Below are 15841 nucleotides of genomic sequence, written 5' to 3'. Positions count from 1 at the left end.
TTTTGGATAGTTTTTTGTTTTGTCTTGTTTCTTTTTTTGCTACGTCTTCACCTTTGGGTTCACACCTCTTTTCTTCTGCAGTGTCTAATCCGCCGTTGGTCCCATCCAGGACAGGGGGAGAGACTCTGCAAAGGTACAGAGATAGGCAGCAGCCGGGGGGCTCTGGGAACTGCAGCGTCCCCTGTGATCTCACCATGCTCAGCTTCAGCTCAGCCTCAGCTCAGCGGCAGGGAAGAGAAGTTCTGTATGCTGACCTGCTGCAAGGAGTCCTTTCAGGCAACTGAGTGGAAATGCAGCCATTTCTCAACTGCAAACTCTCCCTAGAGAGTCAAATTCTCTTCCCTTTTGTAGTGCAAGGGAGTAGTCATCTTCCTATCTCTCATGAGGCAACCTCCCACTCTCGCCTAATTGGAAATATCTCCTGGTCCACACAATGCCACAGCTGGCAGTTCCCCCCGCCTCACCCCCACCCCGTTCCCTCCTTGCAACAGAGCTGCTTCTCTAACTGCTGTGAATGATGAGGAAATCTGAGCCACGTGAAAGAAGCATAGGAACCTATGCCAAGCCCTATTGTGCCACTGACCTTCGGATTTGAATGAAATTAACAATTGCCTAATGAATTGAGTTCTGATAATTTCTATCAAGGCACTTTAAAGTGATGGGCCCCAAGAATTCATCCTGGGGATGAGGTAAAGGCAGTGTCTTTTTATTCAATGTGCAAATTATTTGAAAGTCTCTTCCACGTGATTCAGTGTCCTCGATGACTCATTTATAATTTTTCTGCAAGGGAATGTTAAAGTGACGGGGCCAGTGACCTTCCAGAGAAAGTGCTTTGCTGCTCTTCTGAGACCTTTTAGCACCTATACTAAATGAATGCCAGTGCAGGAGCTTATGTGTGGAAAGACTCAATTCCATGAAGGGCCCTGTTAAAAATATGACAGTACCCAAACCCTCGTGACCCCAAACCCTCACAATCCTGTGCTTGCAGCAAAGCAACCGGGAAAGGTCAGCTCACCCTGGCTCATGTTGTTGTCAACTCTCTGAATTTAGGATTTCGAACTAAAGTTAGAAAAGTGTGCATTGCTTTGTGTAGTCAGTCTCTTTTCCAGAAAATACGTTTTGATTTTTTTTTTTTTTTGGTAGATAACATCATTTTCAGCTGACACTAGGTGAATAATTTATATTTAATAAATTCATTTAAATGGGTACTATAATGAACGAATTAACACGATGAGTGACAGAAGAGGCAAACAATGTGATTTTTGTGATCGAGCATTTAGAAAGGTTAAACTGACAATCTTGACGCTTATGGAAGTTAAATGGTCAGGTGCTGGGACACTTCGTAAGAGAACTGGCCAGGTTGGGGAGAAATTGAGAACACTTTGGAAAACGGAGACGTAGGTCCCAGACCTGCCAGTTATGGGCTAAGGAGGGTTTGTGAATCACTTAGTATTCTAAAGTTGTGGCCTCTCCCTTTGTAAAATAATTTTATCTGTTTAATAGGGTGCTTGGAAAGTTAAATGCCAAAATAAATGCCATGGTACTTTATAAACTGGAAAGCCCTGTTACTATTAAGAGGGGCCAGATTTCAAAGAAAGCAGAGGCCTTGTGGGCTGCTATTGCCCCAGAAGAGGATTTGGATGTAGAGAGACTGAAGATTGGTTGAACCTTGGAGAGGCCACGGAGAGGAGGAAGAACGCTCACTAGAAAGACGGCATGACTGAGGAAGTCGGTGGGAACAAGCCTGCTTCTCCCATGGGAATGTTTCTAATCCTTTACTGTGGCCACCCTTCTCCAAACTCTGCGGAGGGAGATTGCAGGCTGACCCTACCATGGTGCAGCATTTGGACCATGACTGTCTGGGGGCACGAAGTGCTTTGTGATTTGGTTTAAGGGTGAAATCAGTGGTTCCAAACATTGAGCGCACATTAAATCACCTTGGAACATTGCATTGCAAGAATGCCCAGTTTCCATCCCTGAGCTGCACTAATCAGACTTTCTGGGATATGACGGTTTGGGTGATGTCGTTTTCATAGATTTAAAAGTGATTCTGAAGAAAAGCAGGGTTGAGAACTGCTGTTGAGTTCTTGATGTATGGATTGAGAAATTCGTTCTGAATCGAAACACCCTGTCATCCACTAGTTAAGAAAAATTAACTCTGTTTGCTACTGGTCCCCAAATGGGGCCAGTTGGGCTCTTATGGGAGGGCCCAGCAAATCTGAAACCTTGTTAGTGTACTCCAGACTTCTGCCTCATGCCTGTGTCCTTGGAAACCTAGGCTCCTCCTCTTGCCCTGTGATCCCAGGGGTCTGGCAGGTGAAGGTTTCAGCCATGTTTCACAGTGGGACACCTGCCATGGCTCACAAAGTTGTTGACTGTACGAATTCTGTGTAGTGTCCACTCATGTCCTCCCTGCCCACACCAGCCCTGCCCAGCTGTCTACATGAATCCTGGCAGGACTGAGGGAGGCAACTGAATCCAACCATCCTCACACAGGACAAAGCTATTGTTATGACTAACAATAAGTCACTCTCTATCCGTCTTAATTGCATCAGATCTACTGTTATTTAAACATTGCGTTTATAGTCCTTCTCCTCAAGTAGAAAGTAAGATTCATGAGAGCAAAGATCTTTATTGTGTCACTCACTGCTATGTTGCCATTGCCTAGAAAGGTGCCAGGCATATAGTAGACACTTAATTTACACATGATGCATGAATGGATGATGCAATAGCACCCATTTATGGAGTATGTATTATGTGCCAGGCTCTATATCACTTCACATGTATCATCATGTTTAATTCTCACAACAAGCTTAAGAGGGAGGTGCTACTATCTGTTCTCATTTTAGAGAAGCGGAAATTGAAATTCAGACAAGTTTACACACCTGCCCAAGGTTACACAGGTAGGAAGAAGCAAAGCTAGGACTTGAACCCATGACTTTTCAACTGCAAAGACCACGATCCTAACTATTATATTATACTCATTCCTCTTGCTGGGTATGGTGCAGGGACATGTATTTAGCAAGGACTGGCTGCTTGTCTGTCAGCCAGTCACAATCTGGTTGACTCTGGCACTGAGTAGTCATGTTAGTGGCACAATCTCCAGGGAGAGTTATTGCAATCTAAGGGCTGAAAAGGAAATAGATTCCTATACCTTACTCCCCAAATCCAAGGTTCTTCAGGATATCTACTGCAATGCTAGACAAGCTTATTAACTTTTTTTTTTTTTTTTTTTGAGACAGAGTTTCACTCTTGTTGCCCAGGTTGGAGTGCAATGGCGCAATCTCGGCTCACTGCAACCTCCGCCTCCCAGGTTCAAGCGATTCTCCTGTCTCAGCCTTCCAAGTAGCTGGGATTACAGGCATGCACCACCGCGCCTGGCTAATTTTTGTATTTTTAGTAGAGATGGGGTTTCTCCATGTTGGTCTGGCTGGTCTCGAACTCCCAACCTCAGGTGATCCACCCGCCTCGGCCTCCCAAAGTGCTGGGATTACAGGCGTGAGCCACCGTGCCCAGCCAACTTTTTTTTTTTTTCGGAAGTTTACCCTAGCAGCATATTGAAAGGGCCAAGGTGAGATCAAAGTATGTCTCTCTTGGGTAGTGAGACCCTGAATGACTTTTATTTTACCCTTTATATTTTTCTGCAATGCATATGTATATTCATTATAACAAAGATCCCCAAGTGCATTAGCCTACGTGAGTTCAAAGATTATTTTTGCCTCAGGTAAACAGTCCAGGGCAGAAAGGTGAGCTCTGCTTCATAAGGTCATCAAGGTTTCCAACTGGCCCAGCATGTCTGCCTTCAACATGTGGCTGTTCTTTGGGTTAAGGCTCCTGCTCCAGTTGTTCTCAACTTCGTGGTTGAAAGTAGCTCGCCAGCACCACCTCCAGGAGAGGGGCTGGAGGATTAGGAGAATCTCAACAGCTTCATCTTTAAGTAATTACTTATATCCCACTGCCCAAAACCTAGTTACATGGTTACAACTAGCTGCAGGGTTGAGGTTCATGTTTTTGTGTGTATAAATGCCAACACAATTTGTTGAAAACACTATCATTTCTTCATTGAATTTCCTTTGCACATTTGACAAACAAGATTGATTTGTGTCTATTTCTGTACTTTCTATTCTGTTCTGTTGATCTATGTGTCTCTCCCTCTGCCAATACCACACTGTCTTGATTCTTATAAGTCTTAAAATTAGATAGTGGGATTCTTCCAAAGCCAATTTTCTTTTGGCTATGCTAGTTTCATTGCCTTTTATATGAATTTCAAAATCAGCTTGTCAAATATCTGCAAAAAATTCTGCTAGAGTTTTGATTGACATTACATCAAAAGCATAGATTGATTTGGGTAAAATTGTCCTTTTTCTTGTTGAGTCTGCCAATCCATGAACATAGTATGTTTCTCCATATATTGAGGTCTTCTTTGAGTTATTTCATCAGCATTTTAGTGTTTTCAGCACATAGATTCTATGTATGTTTTGTTAAAATTATTTATACGTATCTCTTTTTGGGGGGGAGCTCTTATCATTTTTTGTTTGTTTCTGATTGTTTATTACTATCTTTATAAATATACATGATTTTTTGTATTGACCTTATATTCTAGAATGTGTTTAAACTCAGTATTATGTTTTCCCCAAAAATTTACATATTGAAGCCAGTTAACTGTATTTGGAGATAGGGGTTTTAAGGATGTAATTAAGGTTAAATGAGGTCATAATGGTGGGTCTCCAATCCAATAGGACTAGTGTCCTTATAAGAAGAGGAGAAGATACCAGGAATGCAAGTGTAGAGAAAACATCATGTAAGCAAGAAGGCAGTGATCTGCAAGCAAAGGAGAGAGGACTCACCAGAAATCAACTTGCTAGCACCTTGCTCTTGGACTTCTAGCTTATAGAAGTGTGAGAAAATAAATTTCTTCGGTTTAAGCCCCTCAGTCTGCAGTATTGTGTTATGTAGCGCTAGTGGACTAATACACTCACTGATTCCTTAAAGGAGCTTTTGGTAGACTTCTTGGGTTTTCTATATAGACAATTGTGTAAACTGCAAATAGGGAAAGTTTTATGTCTTCCTTCCAATCTGTATGTATTTTATTTATTTTTCATGCGTTATTGCAGAGTCTAGAAGTTCTAGTGTTATGACGTATACTGTGGTGATAGTGGACATCCTTCCCTGGCTTTGTTCCTGACCTTAGGGGCAAAGTATTCAGTTTTTCCCCATTAAGTATGATATTAGATGCAGGTTTTTGTTGATGCTCTTTATCAGGTTGAAGTGATTCCCTCTATTCCTAACTTGCAGATAATTTTTATCATGAGGTAGTGTTGTAGTTTGTCAAATATTTTTTCTGTGTCAATTTACATTATCATATGATATTTCTCCTTAGCTTATTGACACAGTGGATAACTTTGAATGATTTTTTGAATGATGAAGCAATCTTGCGTAACTAGAATAAATCTTACTTGGTTGTGGTGTATAAGTTCTTTTATATATTGCTGGATTCCATTTGTTAATATTTTGTTGAATATTTTGACATTTAGATTCATGAGAAACAGCCTGGGCAACATGACAAAACCTCATCTCTACCAAAAAGACAAAAATTAGCCAGGGGTGGTGCATGCCTACAGTCCCAGCTACTTGGGAGGCTAAGGTGGGAGGATCACCTGAGCCTGGGAGGTGGAGGCTGCAGTGAGCTGTGATCATGCCACTACATTCCAGGCTGGGTGACAGAGCGAGGCCTTGTCAAATAAATAAATAATAAATAAGTAAATAAATTGATGAGAGATATTAGTTTGTAGATTTAATTTTTATACTGTCTTTGTCTGGTTTTGATATCAGGGTAAAAATGGGCTCATAAAATTAGGCGGGATATATTCCCTCCTCTTTTCTGGAAGAGATTGTGCATATTTAGTGTTATTTCTTATATGTGTGGTAGAAGTTGCCAGTGAAACCATCTTGGCTTGGAGATTTCGTTTGTAAAATTTTTAAACTATAAATTAGTACTATTCAGGTTATCTGTCTCATTTTGAGTGAGTTTGGGTAGTTCGTGGTTTTTAAGGAATTGATCCATTCCATCTAAGTTGTTGAACTTATGTATGTGGAGTTATTCACAGTATTTCTTTATTGTCATTTCAGTGGCTGTGGGATCTATGGTTAGTTTTATTTTTTAAATATTTCTTGTTACATTTCACAAGAAAGCATGCTGCATTGGTTTTTATAAGAAAGTCTGTTCTAGACACTTCTCAAAAGAAGACATTCATGCAGCCAACCAACATATGAAAAAAAGCTCATCACTGATCATTAGAGAAATGCAAATCAAAACCACAATGAGATACCATTTCACACCAGTCAGAATGGGAATTATTAAAAAGTCAAGAAAAAACAGATGCTGGCGAGGCTGTGGAGAAACAGGAATGCTTTTACATTATTGGTGGGAATGTAAATTAGTTCAACCATTGTGGAAGACGGTGTGGTGATTCCTCAAGGATCTAGAACAGAAATATCATTTGACCCAGCAATCACATTACTAGGTATATACCCAAAGGAATATAAATCATTCTATTATAAAAATACATGCATGTGTATGTTCGTTGCAGCACTAGTCACAATAACAAAGACATAGAATTAACCCAAATGCTCATCAATGATAGACTGGATAAAGAAAATGTGGTACATATACACCACGGAATACTGTGCAACCATAAAAAGGAATGAGATCATGTCCTTTGCAGGGATATGAATGGAGCTGGAAGCCATCGTGCTCAGCAAACTCACACAGGAACAGAAAACTAAACACTGCATGTTCTCACTTATAAGTGGGAGGTGAACAATGAGAACACAGGTACACACTGGGGGGAACAACACACACTGGATCCTGTTGGGGGAGGGAGAGCATCAAGAAAGATAGCTAATGCATGCTGGACTTAATCCCTAGGTGATGGGTGATAGGTGCAGCAAACAACAATGGCACATGTTTACCTGTGTAACAAACCTGCACATCCTGCACATGTATCCTAGAACTTAGAGTAAAAAAAGAAAGTCTGTTCTTAATTTGCACTAAATATTCTTTAAAATTTATAATTTTTGATTTTTTAAAATGAAAGCCTTTTGTATTCAATCAAGAAAATCTTGACTAATCAGAACCACACAAATTAACCCCTAAGTTAATCGATATTTTGGCTGCCTTCAGATCCAGTTAATGAGAAATAAGCAGGGTGTATTGAGAGGGAGTGGCAGTCCTTTCTGCCAGCCACAGCCTGCCTTCATGGTTCTGGGCTGACTCCGGGGCAGTGAGAGCCTTCAGCATCCAGACAGCCTTACTTGGGTTCATTAGCATGAAAGTACAAGGAATCTACCTGTAGAGAGAGAAAAACAGAAATATTCTTCTTCCTTCTCATTCTTTATCCCTTCCTCCTCTCTTGTCATTCCATGTTCTTGAAGGGATGGAAAACATATTCTCAGGACTAAGCTGGGAGCCAGCAACTAATAAAATACATCAATTTAAGCTTAAGTATGAGACCCCCAGGCCAGCAGTTTTTAAGATGTTCTCCCCCACATTCCCATTTTTTGAAATATTTCCACTTAACCTGTGTCTGAGTAAATTTAGACCAGTGTTTCTCAGATAAGGTTTCCAGGATCACCTGCATCATTCCTCCTGAGGTGCTTGTTATCATGCAGATTCCAGGGTCTTATCCTGGTCTTTATTGAATTAGATTGTCTGGGGCCATGAATCTGCATTTTAACAAGTGCTTCCAGGTGACTGCTGGTTTGAATGCTTTATTTTGACCTAATCATTCGTGTTTATATTATTCCACTCACTGAGATGATGAAACTCCAGTTCTAGTTCTAATAGAGCAGTGAACAATTGTCCACGCATAAGCCACCTTTTTAATTGTATTTTTATTTTACTTTAAGTTCTGGGATACATGTGCAGAATGTGCAGGTTTGTTACATAGGTATACATGTGCCATGGTGGTTTGCTGTACCTATCAACCTGTCATCTGAATTTTAAGCCCCACATGCATTAGCTATTTGTCCTGATGCTCTCCTTCCTCTCACTCCACATCCCCTGACAGGCTCCAGTGTGTGTTGTCCCCCTCCCTGTGTGCATGTGTTCTCACTGTTCAATTCACATTTATGAGTGAGAATATGTGGTGTTTGGTTTTCTGTTCCTATGTTACTTTGCTGAGGATGATGGCTTCCAGGTTCATCCATATCCTTGCAAAGGACATGAACTCATCCTTTTTATGGCTGCATAGTATTCTGTGGTATATATGTACCACATTTTCTTTATCCAGTCTATCATTGATGGGTATTTGTGTTGATTCCATGTCTTCGCTATTATAAATAGTGCTGCAATAAACATACATGTGCATGTGTCTTTATAGTAAAATGATTTATATTCCTTAGGGTGTATATCCAGTATATGGGATTGCTGGGTCAAAATAAGCCACCTTTTAAAAAAATTAAAATATAAATACCTTTATTGAGTCCCAGGGGAAAATTGTGTTTTAGGTCATTTACTCTTTGGAACAGAAGAATGTTGTGGTAGAGTGAATGGGAAATGTCTCAAATTTTTTCACTGTTCCATCCTTGCATCCATGTTTGCAATGTGACATTGCTGGGCCTGGCATCAGAAGGTAGTCTGTTCCTTTTCCTCTTGAATTTGGTCTGCTTTGTGACTAGCTTTGGCCAATCAGATGCAGGAAAAGTGGAGGCCCACAGAGGTCCTGCAGTGCTCCACTGTCTTGGGCCCCTGGCACTGTCCTGTGAACAGGCCTGGGCTGGCCTGCTGTGGGTAAGAAGCTCCTGAGGGAGAACCCAGCTGGCCCAGTCACAAGCATTTTGGAAGTTTATAGCCATAGAGGAGCCAAACCCCCACAAAACAAGGAAGCACAGCCCAGATCAAGAGAGCCACCTGCAGCGCCACAGCTGGTGGCACAAGCCCCCACTGAGTCCAGAAGGACTGCCCGGCTGATCTGCAGACTGTGAGCAATGGGAAATGGAATTGTTTTAAGCAATTGAGCTTTGAGATGGTTGGTCATGCAGCAACAACTGATTCCTGCAAATGTCAATGAGAATAATGACCATGAAAACATTGCTACTAAAAGGTTAATATTATAACTGGCCATGTTTTCTCATCTTTCATCCCGAAATCAAAAGTCAGGCAGCAAGGAGAAATGGGTCAGGCTACAGTGGCCCATTGGCCATGGTGACACATCCCCTCCTCCTGCCATGTGTTCTAATACATCCATTTTGTTGCTGATTTTCCCAATTCCAATGGTCCAGAAATTTCTGGATGGTGCTGTCATGGCTACTTCCCCATTTTGAGCCTGGCCACCTCCCTGCCCTTGCAAGGAGATTTGCTCCCTGCAAAATGTGGAGGTGGTCTAGGCTTATTCATCTACCAACCTAACAATAAAACAGTAAGCACTTGAGCAGTGATCATCTAGCAGGTGGGGTCTACCCTTGGACTTCATCCCCAATCAGAGACACTTAAGAAGCCAAGTGTAGTGCAAACAGCATATTCAACATTGTGTAGGCATTTACCATTACAAAGTTTTAAAAAAGCTATTAGTTTTTATAGTACAAACTACCCAAAGTAACATTCAACAGAAGTTTTTTTTGGGGTAAAGGAAATATGCAAAGTATATAGCGATTTTTAGCTGGGTGACTTGCAGAATTTGAGGGCGGGATGGGAACAGTATGAGATTTATACATTAATAGTAAAGAAGGGGCCTCGGATACAAAAGTTTAGATGCTGTGGCTTAGAGCACTGAATTTAACTTGTATCCCCCTTTCAGCAAGGCTTGAGTGGTCTCCCTATGACAGCACTGAGTGGGGTTTTAATAATGGAAATAATAACTGCATCATCCATACAGTGTGGCTTCTGCAAACCATAGCTCTTGCTTTTAGTCTAATAATATCCCTGAAATGTGCTGAAATCCCTTAAAAATCCCTTTTATAGATTCTGAACTAAGAACATTTTATTTTAAGGTGGTAGATTGAATGAGACTTCAAGCAAATACCAAAGGGTCAACCTTCATCCAGTCCTCTGAGCATTACTGGCAGACCTCCCTGAAATGGGCACATCACAAAAAAATTGTAAATGCTTCCCACCCAGCTCCCAGACAAAACTCCAAGAATGCACTAACACCACTCCCAAGGGGTTGCACCAGCTATTGGAGTGGCTTGGGCAGGGAAAATGTTTGTCTCTGCTTTTTTTCACACCTGGATGGGAAACAACTTGTGGAGTTTCCCATTGTCTACCAAAGGTTTCAGCTGGACTCCATCCCATGGGCTGCTTCCACTCAAGTAGCAAGGAAGCAGTGAGGATGGTGTCAGGGAAGGAAGAGTAATTTGCTGGAAAAGTGCAAGTGATCCAAACTGTACTTCTAAGAGGGCAGAAGCAGGCAGGGCAGATGTCCAGTGCTCATGATTCCTGGTGGGCATTTCTACTGGCAAAAATGCAGGTACCCAAAGGAGGAAGCTGCCTTGCTCAGGGGAGTAATGTGGGAGCACGGAGGGGGCTGCTGAGGACAGAAGCTACACAATATGTCCCTGCGTGTCCTTGGGTTAATCAGATGGTCTCAGATTTCTTTGGGGCCTGACTGCATTGCTAAATTCAGGGGGGAAATCCAATTCCATGGCCATGCTTAGGAACAAGGAAATATGCTCTACACATATGGTCCTGGGAGCACCCCCTTCTTCCTTGCCTCTGTGTATGACAGTGCACAGTACCTCCCTTACCTGGGCTAAGTCAGTTCAGACCCTAGTTACCTACAGTGAAGCTGAAGTGGTCTATTTGGAGAAGCCATGAATGACAGTTTGGAGGTCATGAAACAAGTAACTATATGGAAGTAAAAAACACATGGTGTGGTCCAGTCTCAATGACTTACCCCAGGGTTATGGGCAGACAACTTCCCTCCCTGGCAACTTTCTAACCAGCTCACCCTCTGAAATAAGTTCACCCTAAAAATTCCCAAATCTGCATTGCTCAGGCTGTTTCTAATACCTGCCAACATTCCTAGACTAAACTTGACACAGCTGTTTTTCTAGTAGAGGTAAAGATTTGGGGTGTCATCCTAATGCTTCAATAAGCCCTTCCTAAGGTTGCTGGCAGCCCTCTGCTGGGCTGCATCTGTGACTATATGGGAAATACATTAAACTATTTGGGGTCAGGTTTTCAAAGAGTCAATTACAGTTGAAATTAGGAGAGAGAGAGAAGTTAGACACATTGAGTGTCAACCATGAGCCAGGCACTATTCTAGGTCTTCAAAATACGTAATCTAAATTTGAATTTAAAACTGGATTGAAATTTACATAAGAACGGGGTAACACAGATAATTGGTATAAGGACTGCAGATATTTCTGCAGACTTTGAAGACTCCACTGGAGTTGGGGGCAGACGTGGAGGTGGGCGGGGCGGTCCTTTACATGGATGGTGTCTTTGTTACTAGGGTACTGTAAGTGCCTTTATCCAGAAGAGCCCAGTGAAGACCTCTGCTCTGTTTTCAGACCACGAGGACACTTGGGAAGCTGCTCTGAGAAATTTCATCAGCTGTGGAAGCAGAGGGGCTGTTGATGGATTTCTGGAGGAGGGATGGTTGTCTGTTCTCTTCGCTTGCCCTACTCAGAAAAATGTTCAGATTTCTTTTTAAGGCGTTGCATGTAGAATCATTCTTGTTGCAAGATATGCATATGTATCTTTTTAATTTTAACTCAAGCTCTATACCAAAAGGCAAGTTCATTTACTCAGAGCCTAGACAGAAGGCTTTCCCAGTCCTGACACCTTGCTTATTTGCTACTTAAAGTCTTTTGGAAGAAAAGAACAGATTTTTGCATTTTGTTCCCTTTCCTATTTCAGGAAAAAAAAAAGAATTTTTTTTAAATCTACACAACTGTCCTAATTGGAAGGGATTCTTGATCTGTTTCATTGCAGTCTGTTTATTTCTGGTAGGTGTCCAGACCGCTTGGCCCCCACCCCTGCCAGGCTGTTCTCCAACAACATCCCGACTCCATTCCAGAGCAGCTGGGAGCCTACAGCAGCCTAGGAATCTCCATGCAGCCCCAGGTGGCATGCAGGGCCATGTCTCCTCTTGAGGACCTGTCTTCAGCGTCTCTTTTAGGCCCACTCTGGCTGTCCTGCCACATCAGCATCCCTCTGTCTCCTCCTTTCAGGTCACCCAGCTTGTCTTGCTCCAGGCAGGGCTGCCCTACCCTAATATCCCCACACTCTGTACGTAGGCATGGACCTGAGAAGTTACTGTGGCCAAAATTTCACTCTGGAAGCAACTAGAGCCCCCGTAGTGTGGTGCATGAGCCCAGGCCAGCTCCCGCCTGCACAGAGCTGCTTCGGGTTAAGGACTTGGGTGTTAAGAAGGAAACTGCCTAAGGCAAACAGCTCAGACTGGAACAGGGCCAAATCTAGAGTTCTGGGGTTCAGGTGGAGAACAGTGTTGCTCTATAAACGCATGGTGATGCAGAGGAAATCAGCATCAAGGATAGCCTCAGGGCTGGTGGGGAGTGGAGAAGCCGCCAAGATAACATGCAGTCATGATAGGTGTTAAAAGAAAACCTTTAGACCAAATAAACTTAATAGGGCTTACTGGAGCAAAGGACAATTGACAAATCAGGCAGCACTCAGAACCAGAGGAGGTTCTGGGAGTTCTGCTGAGCAGTGTGGGCACTGGGCCTTTATAGGCTGGAGCGGAAGGGATACAAAGAAAATAGATTCAATTCGCTAGAATGGAAAGTCCCTGGTTAGAGATTCATTGAGGGTTTCTGACTGGAAAAGTGTCCAGGTTCGTTTGCTGTTTACCTAGAGTTTGTGCTTGCTTATGAAGAAATTTAAAGAACAAAGCCACCATCACCTAATGGCCTCCCAATTAAGATGAAATTTTAACACGGATGGTGATGGTGGATCCTTAACACAAGATGGCAGAGAAGGACCCTAGAGATGATATAGACCAGAAGTGGTCTACCAGTGTCCTCCAGGTATGTTCTATTTGTCCTATGTAATGTGTGTGGGGGAGTGGATGGGTGTGTGTGTGTGTGTGTGTGTGTGCATATTTTCCCCTTAGTTGATGCTGAATGCTTTTTGATGGCACATGAATTCTGTTCTTTCCTACAGCTCCTACGTATGCTCACTGACCTCCTCTTCCCTCTTGTATATTACCACATTACTGTATATTACTGCATCACTACTGTGATGTGGTATATTGTATATTACCATTATTATATTGTATATTATATTATATTGTATGTGGTATATTGTATATTACCATTATTGTATATTACCACATTACCTGCTGGAGCAGCGATGCAGGGCCCAGAGAGAAGGAAGGAAAGTGGTGGAGGAAGAGTACCTTGGCTGCACCTGGTCAAAAGCCTTGGGAAGGATGGCTTGGAACTCAGCATCAATTCCCCCGAATCATCAGACTTGGAAATGAGCATGGAAGTGGTGCTTCCTTTTCCTCATGGAAATCACATGCAGCTTCAGAGAGTTTCATTTGCATTGAAACTTAGAGACAGATATAATCTATAGACTCCAAAACATGGGTAAGGGCTGCAAAGAGCTGCAAGCTCACAGGAAGAGGAGCAGCATCTAGGGCGGCAGCGGAACTTTGAGAGCACAAGCAGAACTACACTTCCCAAGGATGAGGCACACACCGGCCCCTTGTTTGCATTTCCTGGGAAGGAGCTAGAGGTCCCTGCAGCAAAAGCCCTCAGGGACCCAGTATGATTCAGAGAAGCTGAGGAGGCAGAGCTCTATAAAGGATAATACCATATTTTCAGGAAGAAGTCTGTCTCTGTGAAAACAAAGAGAAAGAGGTCCTGTGAGATGAAGAATTCTGGAAGACTGTCCTTGCCCCACCCCTGGTTAGAACATCTTGCAAAAAGCTGATCTAGGGAAGTTCAACCAGTACACTCCATGAATAATTTAAAAGAAGATGGAATAACCTCAATACAAACATTCTATAAGACACAAAGAGCAGCAAATCACATCAACCGAAGAACATGCACCCGTAAAATGTGGGCTGGAAGAGGTGAAAATTATGATGAAACATTCCACCATGAATTAGAAACAAAGCACCTTGACAAGGCAATTTGATCTCTAATGGAAAACCACAAAGCACAAATGCAGGAACTCAAATAGAAGATGAAAAGCTGATGGGAAGTGATGAGATGGAGCTAGAAGACTCAGGAAAGAAGCAGAGGATAATAAGGGGGCGAAGTCACTGCAAAAGGCTCTGTAAGAGAAGCACAGGATGGGAGTGTGGAATGCAAATCTGATGTCGTAGAGACAGGGAGTTAAGATTAGAGAGAAAGTGATCGCAATAACAGGGAGGTGAAGGAAAGCCACACGTGCAAAACTAGAGTCTCTGAAGAAGCCAAAACAATAGGATGTAAAAAACGTTTTAAAATACAATTCAAAACATTTCCTAAAATAAAGCAAGACTTGAATCTGCATATCGGATGTTCACACTACTTCCCAGGGAAACCTGATTTAAAACAGTCTCCACCTGAGATGCAATCTAGTCAAGTTATTGGATTTAAAGAAAGTATCCTTTAGGCAGTAAAGCACAAAATACTAAGTCACATACAGGGAAAAAAAAAGTCGAGTTGAACTCAGACTTCATCAAAACAGCATTTAACATTAGAAGAGGATAGAGAAACATTTAGAAGATATTTAAGGAAAGTGCAAACCAAGAATTTTATATCATCCAAGCTGTTCAACAATTACAAAGGCTATAGCAGAATGTTTTGAACATACAAGAGCTTAGAAAGTATAGTTCTTGTGAACCTTCTTAAGGAAATGACCAGAAAATGAACGTCAGCCAATTGAGAGTCTACTATGGAAGCTTTAACCACAAGTCTGACTGTAAGTATTGATTATACTTAAGTTCAGATCTAAGACTAAATATAATGTGGGGATTAGTGTAACATAATGGGATGTAAATCTTATAAGCCCTGGCAATGTAGAAATAACACAACTAACACAAATTGGGATGGGAAAGGGGTAAAGATGGCAGGAAGTAAAGTAATTGCTTCTTGGATAAACTCAGGGAGACAAAAGAAATAATTTAAAGCCAAAGAAACAAACAGTGTTTTTGTTAAAAATGTATTTAAGAGTCCAAAGTAAAAATTAACAAAGATAATATTATTGAATTGAGTCAGGAAGTGGAGGGAGAGATAGGAGAAAGGGAAGAAAATACACACTTATTTTATTATGGCCTAATGCTGTTTATGAAGCAGATGACCAGAGTTTTATATGACAATATGATTACAAAGAAATAATGAAACCACATTAAAAATCCTTCTAAATACCAGAACTTAATTCACTTCTCGTCTCCTGTGGCCTTTTCTCCTTTCGTCGCCTCTCCTCTCTTCTCTCTTTTCTCTTTGCCCACTCCCAAAAAAGCAAACTGACCTTATGTTGAAAGACTTTAAATAATTGTATTCAGAGAACAACAACAAAAACAACAACAACAGATCAAAGATCAACTCACCTGTCATGTCAATAAATATAAATGACATTAACTCATTGTGATACGATGATATGTATATATCTATATATATTTTTATTAACTCACTGTGATATTATGATATCTATATAGGTTTTTATCCATGGTTCCTGGCTTATAACTCCCATAGCCCTTGTTATAATATTGGGGCCCTTGGGCCAGCCTCAGAAAACAGAATCTCTCTCTCTCTCTGGCCATCCCTTGCTCTCCTTTCACCTGCTCCTTTCCCTCCCCAAGGCAGGACTCTAATCTTCCCCTGCCTTTCTGTCTTGGCAATTCTCTGACCTACCTTATCTCATTGTGGGACATCAGATCTCCAT

At 41.8% G+C, this 15841-nt stretch overlaps 1 long non-coding RNA gene across 1 annotated transcript, besides 1 other annotated feature; it reads left to right on the top strand.

Moving 5' to 3' along the window:
- The first annotated feature begins 488 nt into the window (after positions 1 to 488).
- On the top strand, positions 489 to 14466 carry LOC105375310 (uncharacterized). The gene is made up of 3 exons (XR_001739612.2): positions 489 to 2903; positions 9991 to 12990; positions 13127 to 14466. It is a non-coding gene; the product is annotated as an uncharacterized LOC105375310 (long non-coding RNA).
- Positions 3706 to 4000: a silencer, noted in NCBI's record as "tiled region #3478; K562 Repressive non-DNase unmatched - State 13:Ctcf". NCBI's record gives its function as "represses a minimal TATA promoter and a strong SV40 promoter by Sharpr-MPRA in K562 cells {active_cell/tissue: K562}" and the evidence as "EXISTENCE:reporter gene assay evidence [ECO:0000049][PMID:27701403]".
- Positions 14467 to 15841: the final 1375 nt, after the last annotated feature.

The sequence above is a fragment of the Homo sapiens genome, chromosome 2 (assembly GCF_000001405.40).
Source record: "Homo sapiens chromosome 2, GRCh38.p14 Primary Assembly".
Taxonomy (NCBI): domain Eukaryota; kingdom Metazoa; phylum Chordata; class Mammalia; order Primates; family Hominidae; genus Homo; species Homo sapiens.
The sequence above is the reverse complement of the archived record's forward strand: the minus strand, read 5'-3'. Positions and strand labels throughout refer to the sequence as shown.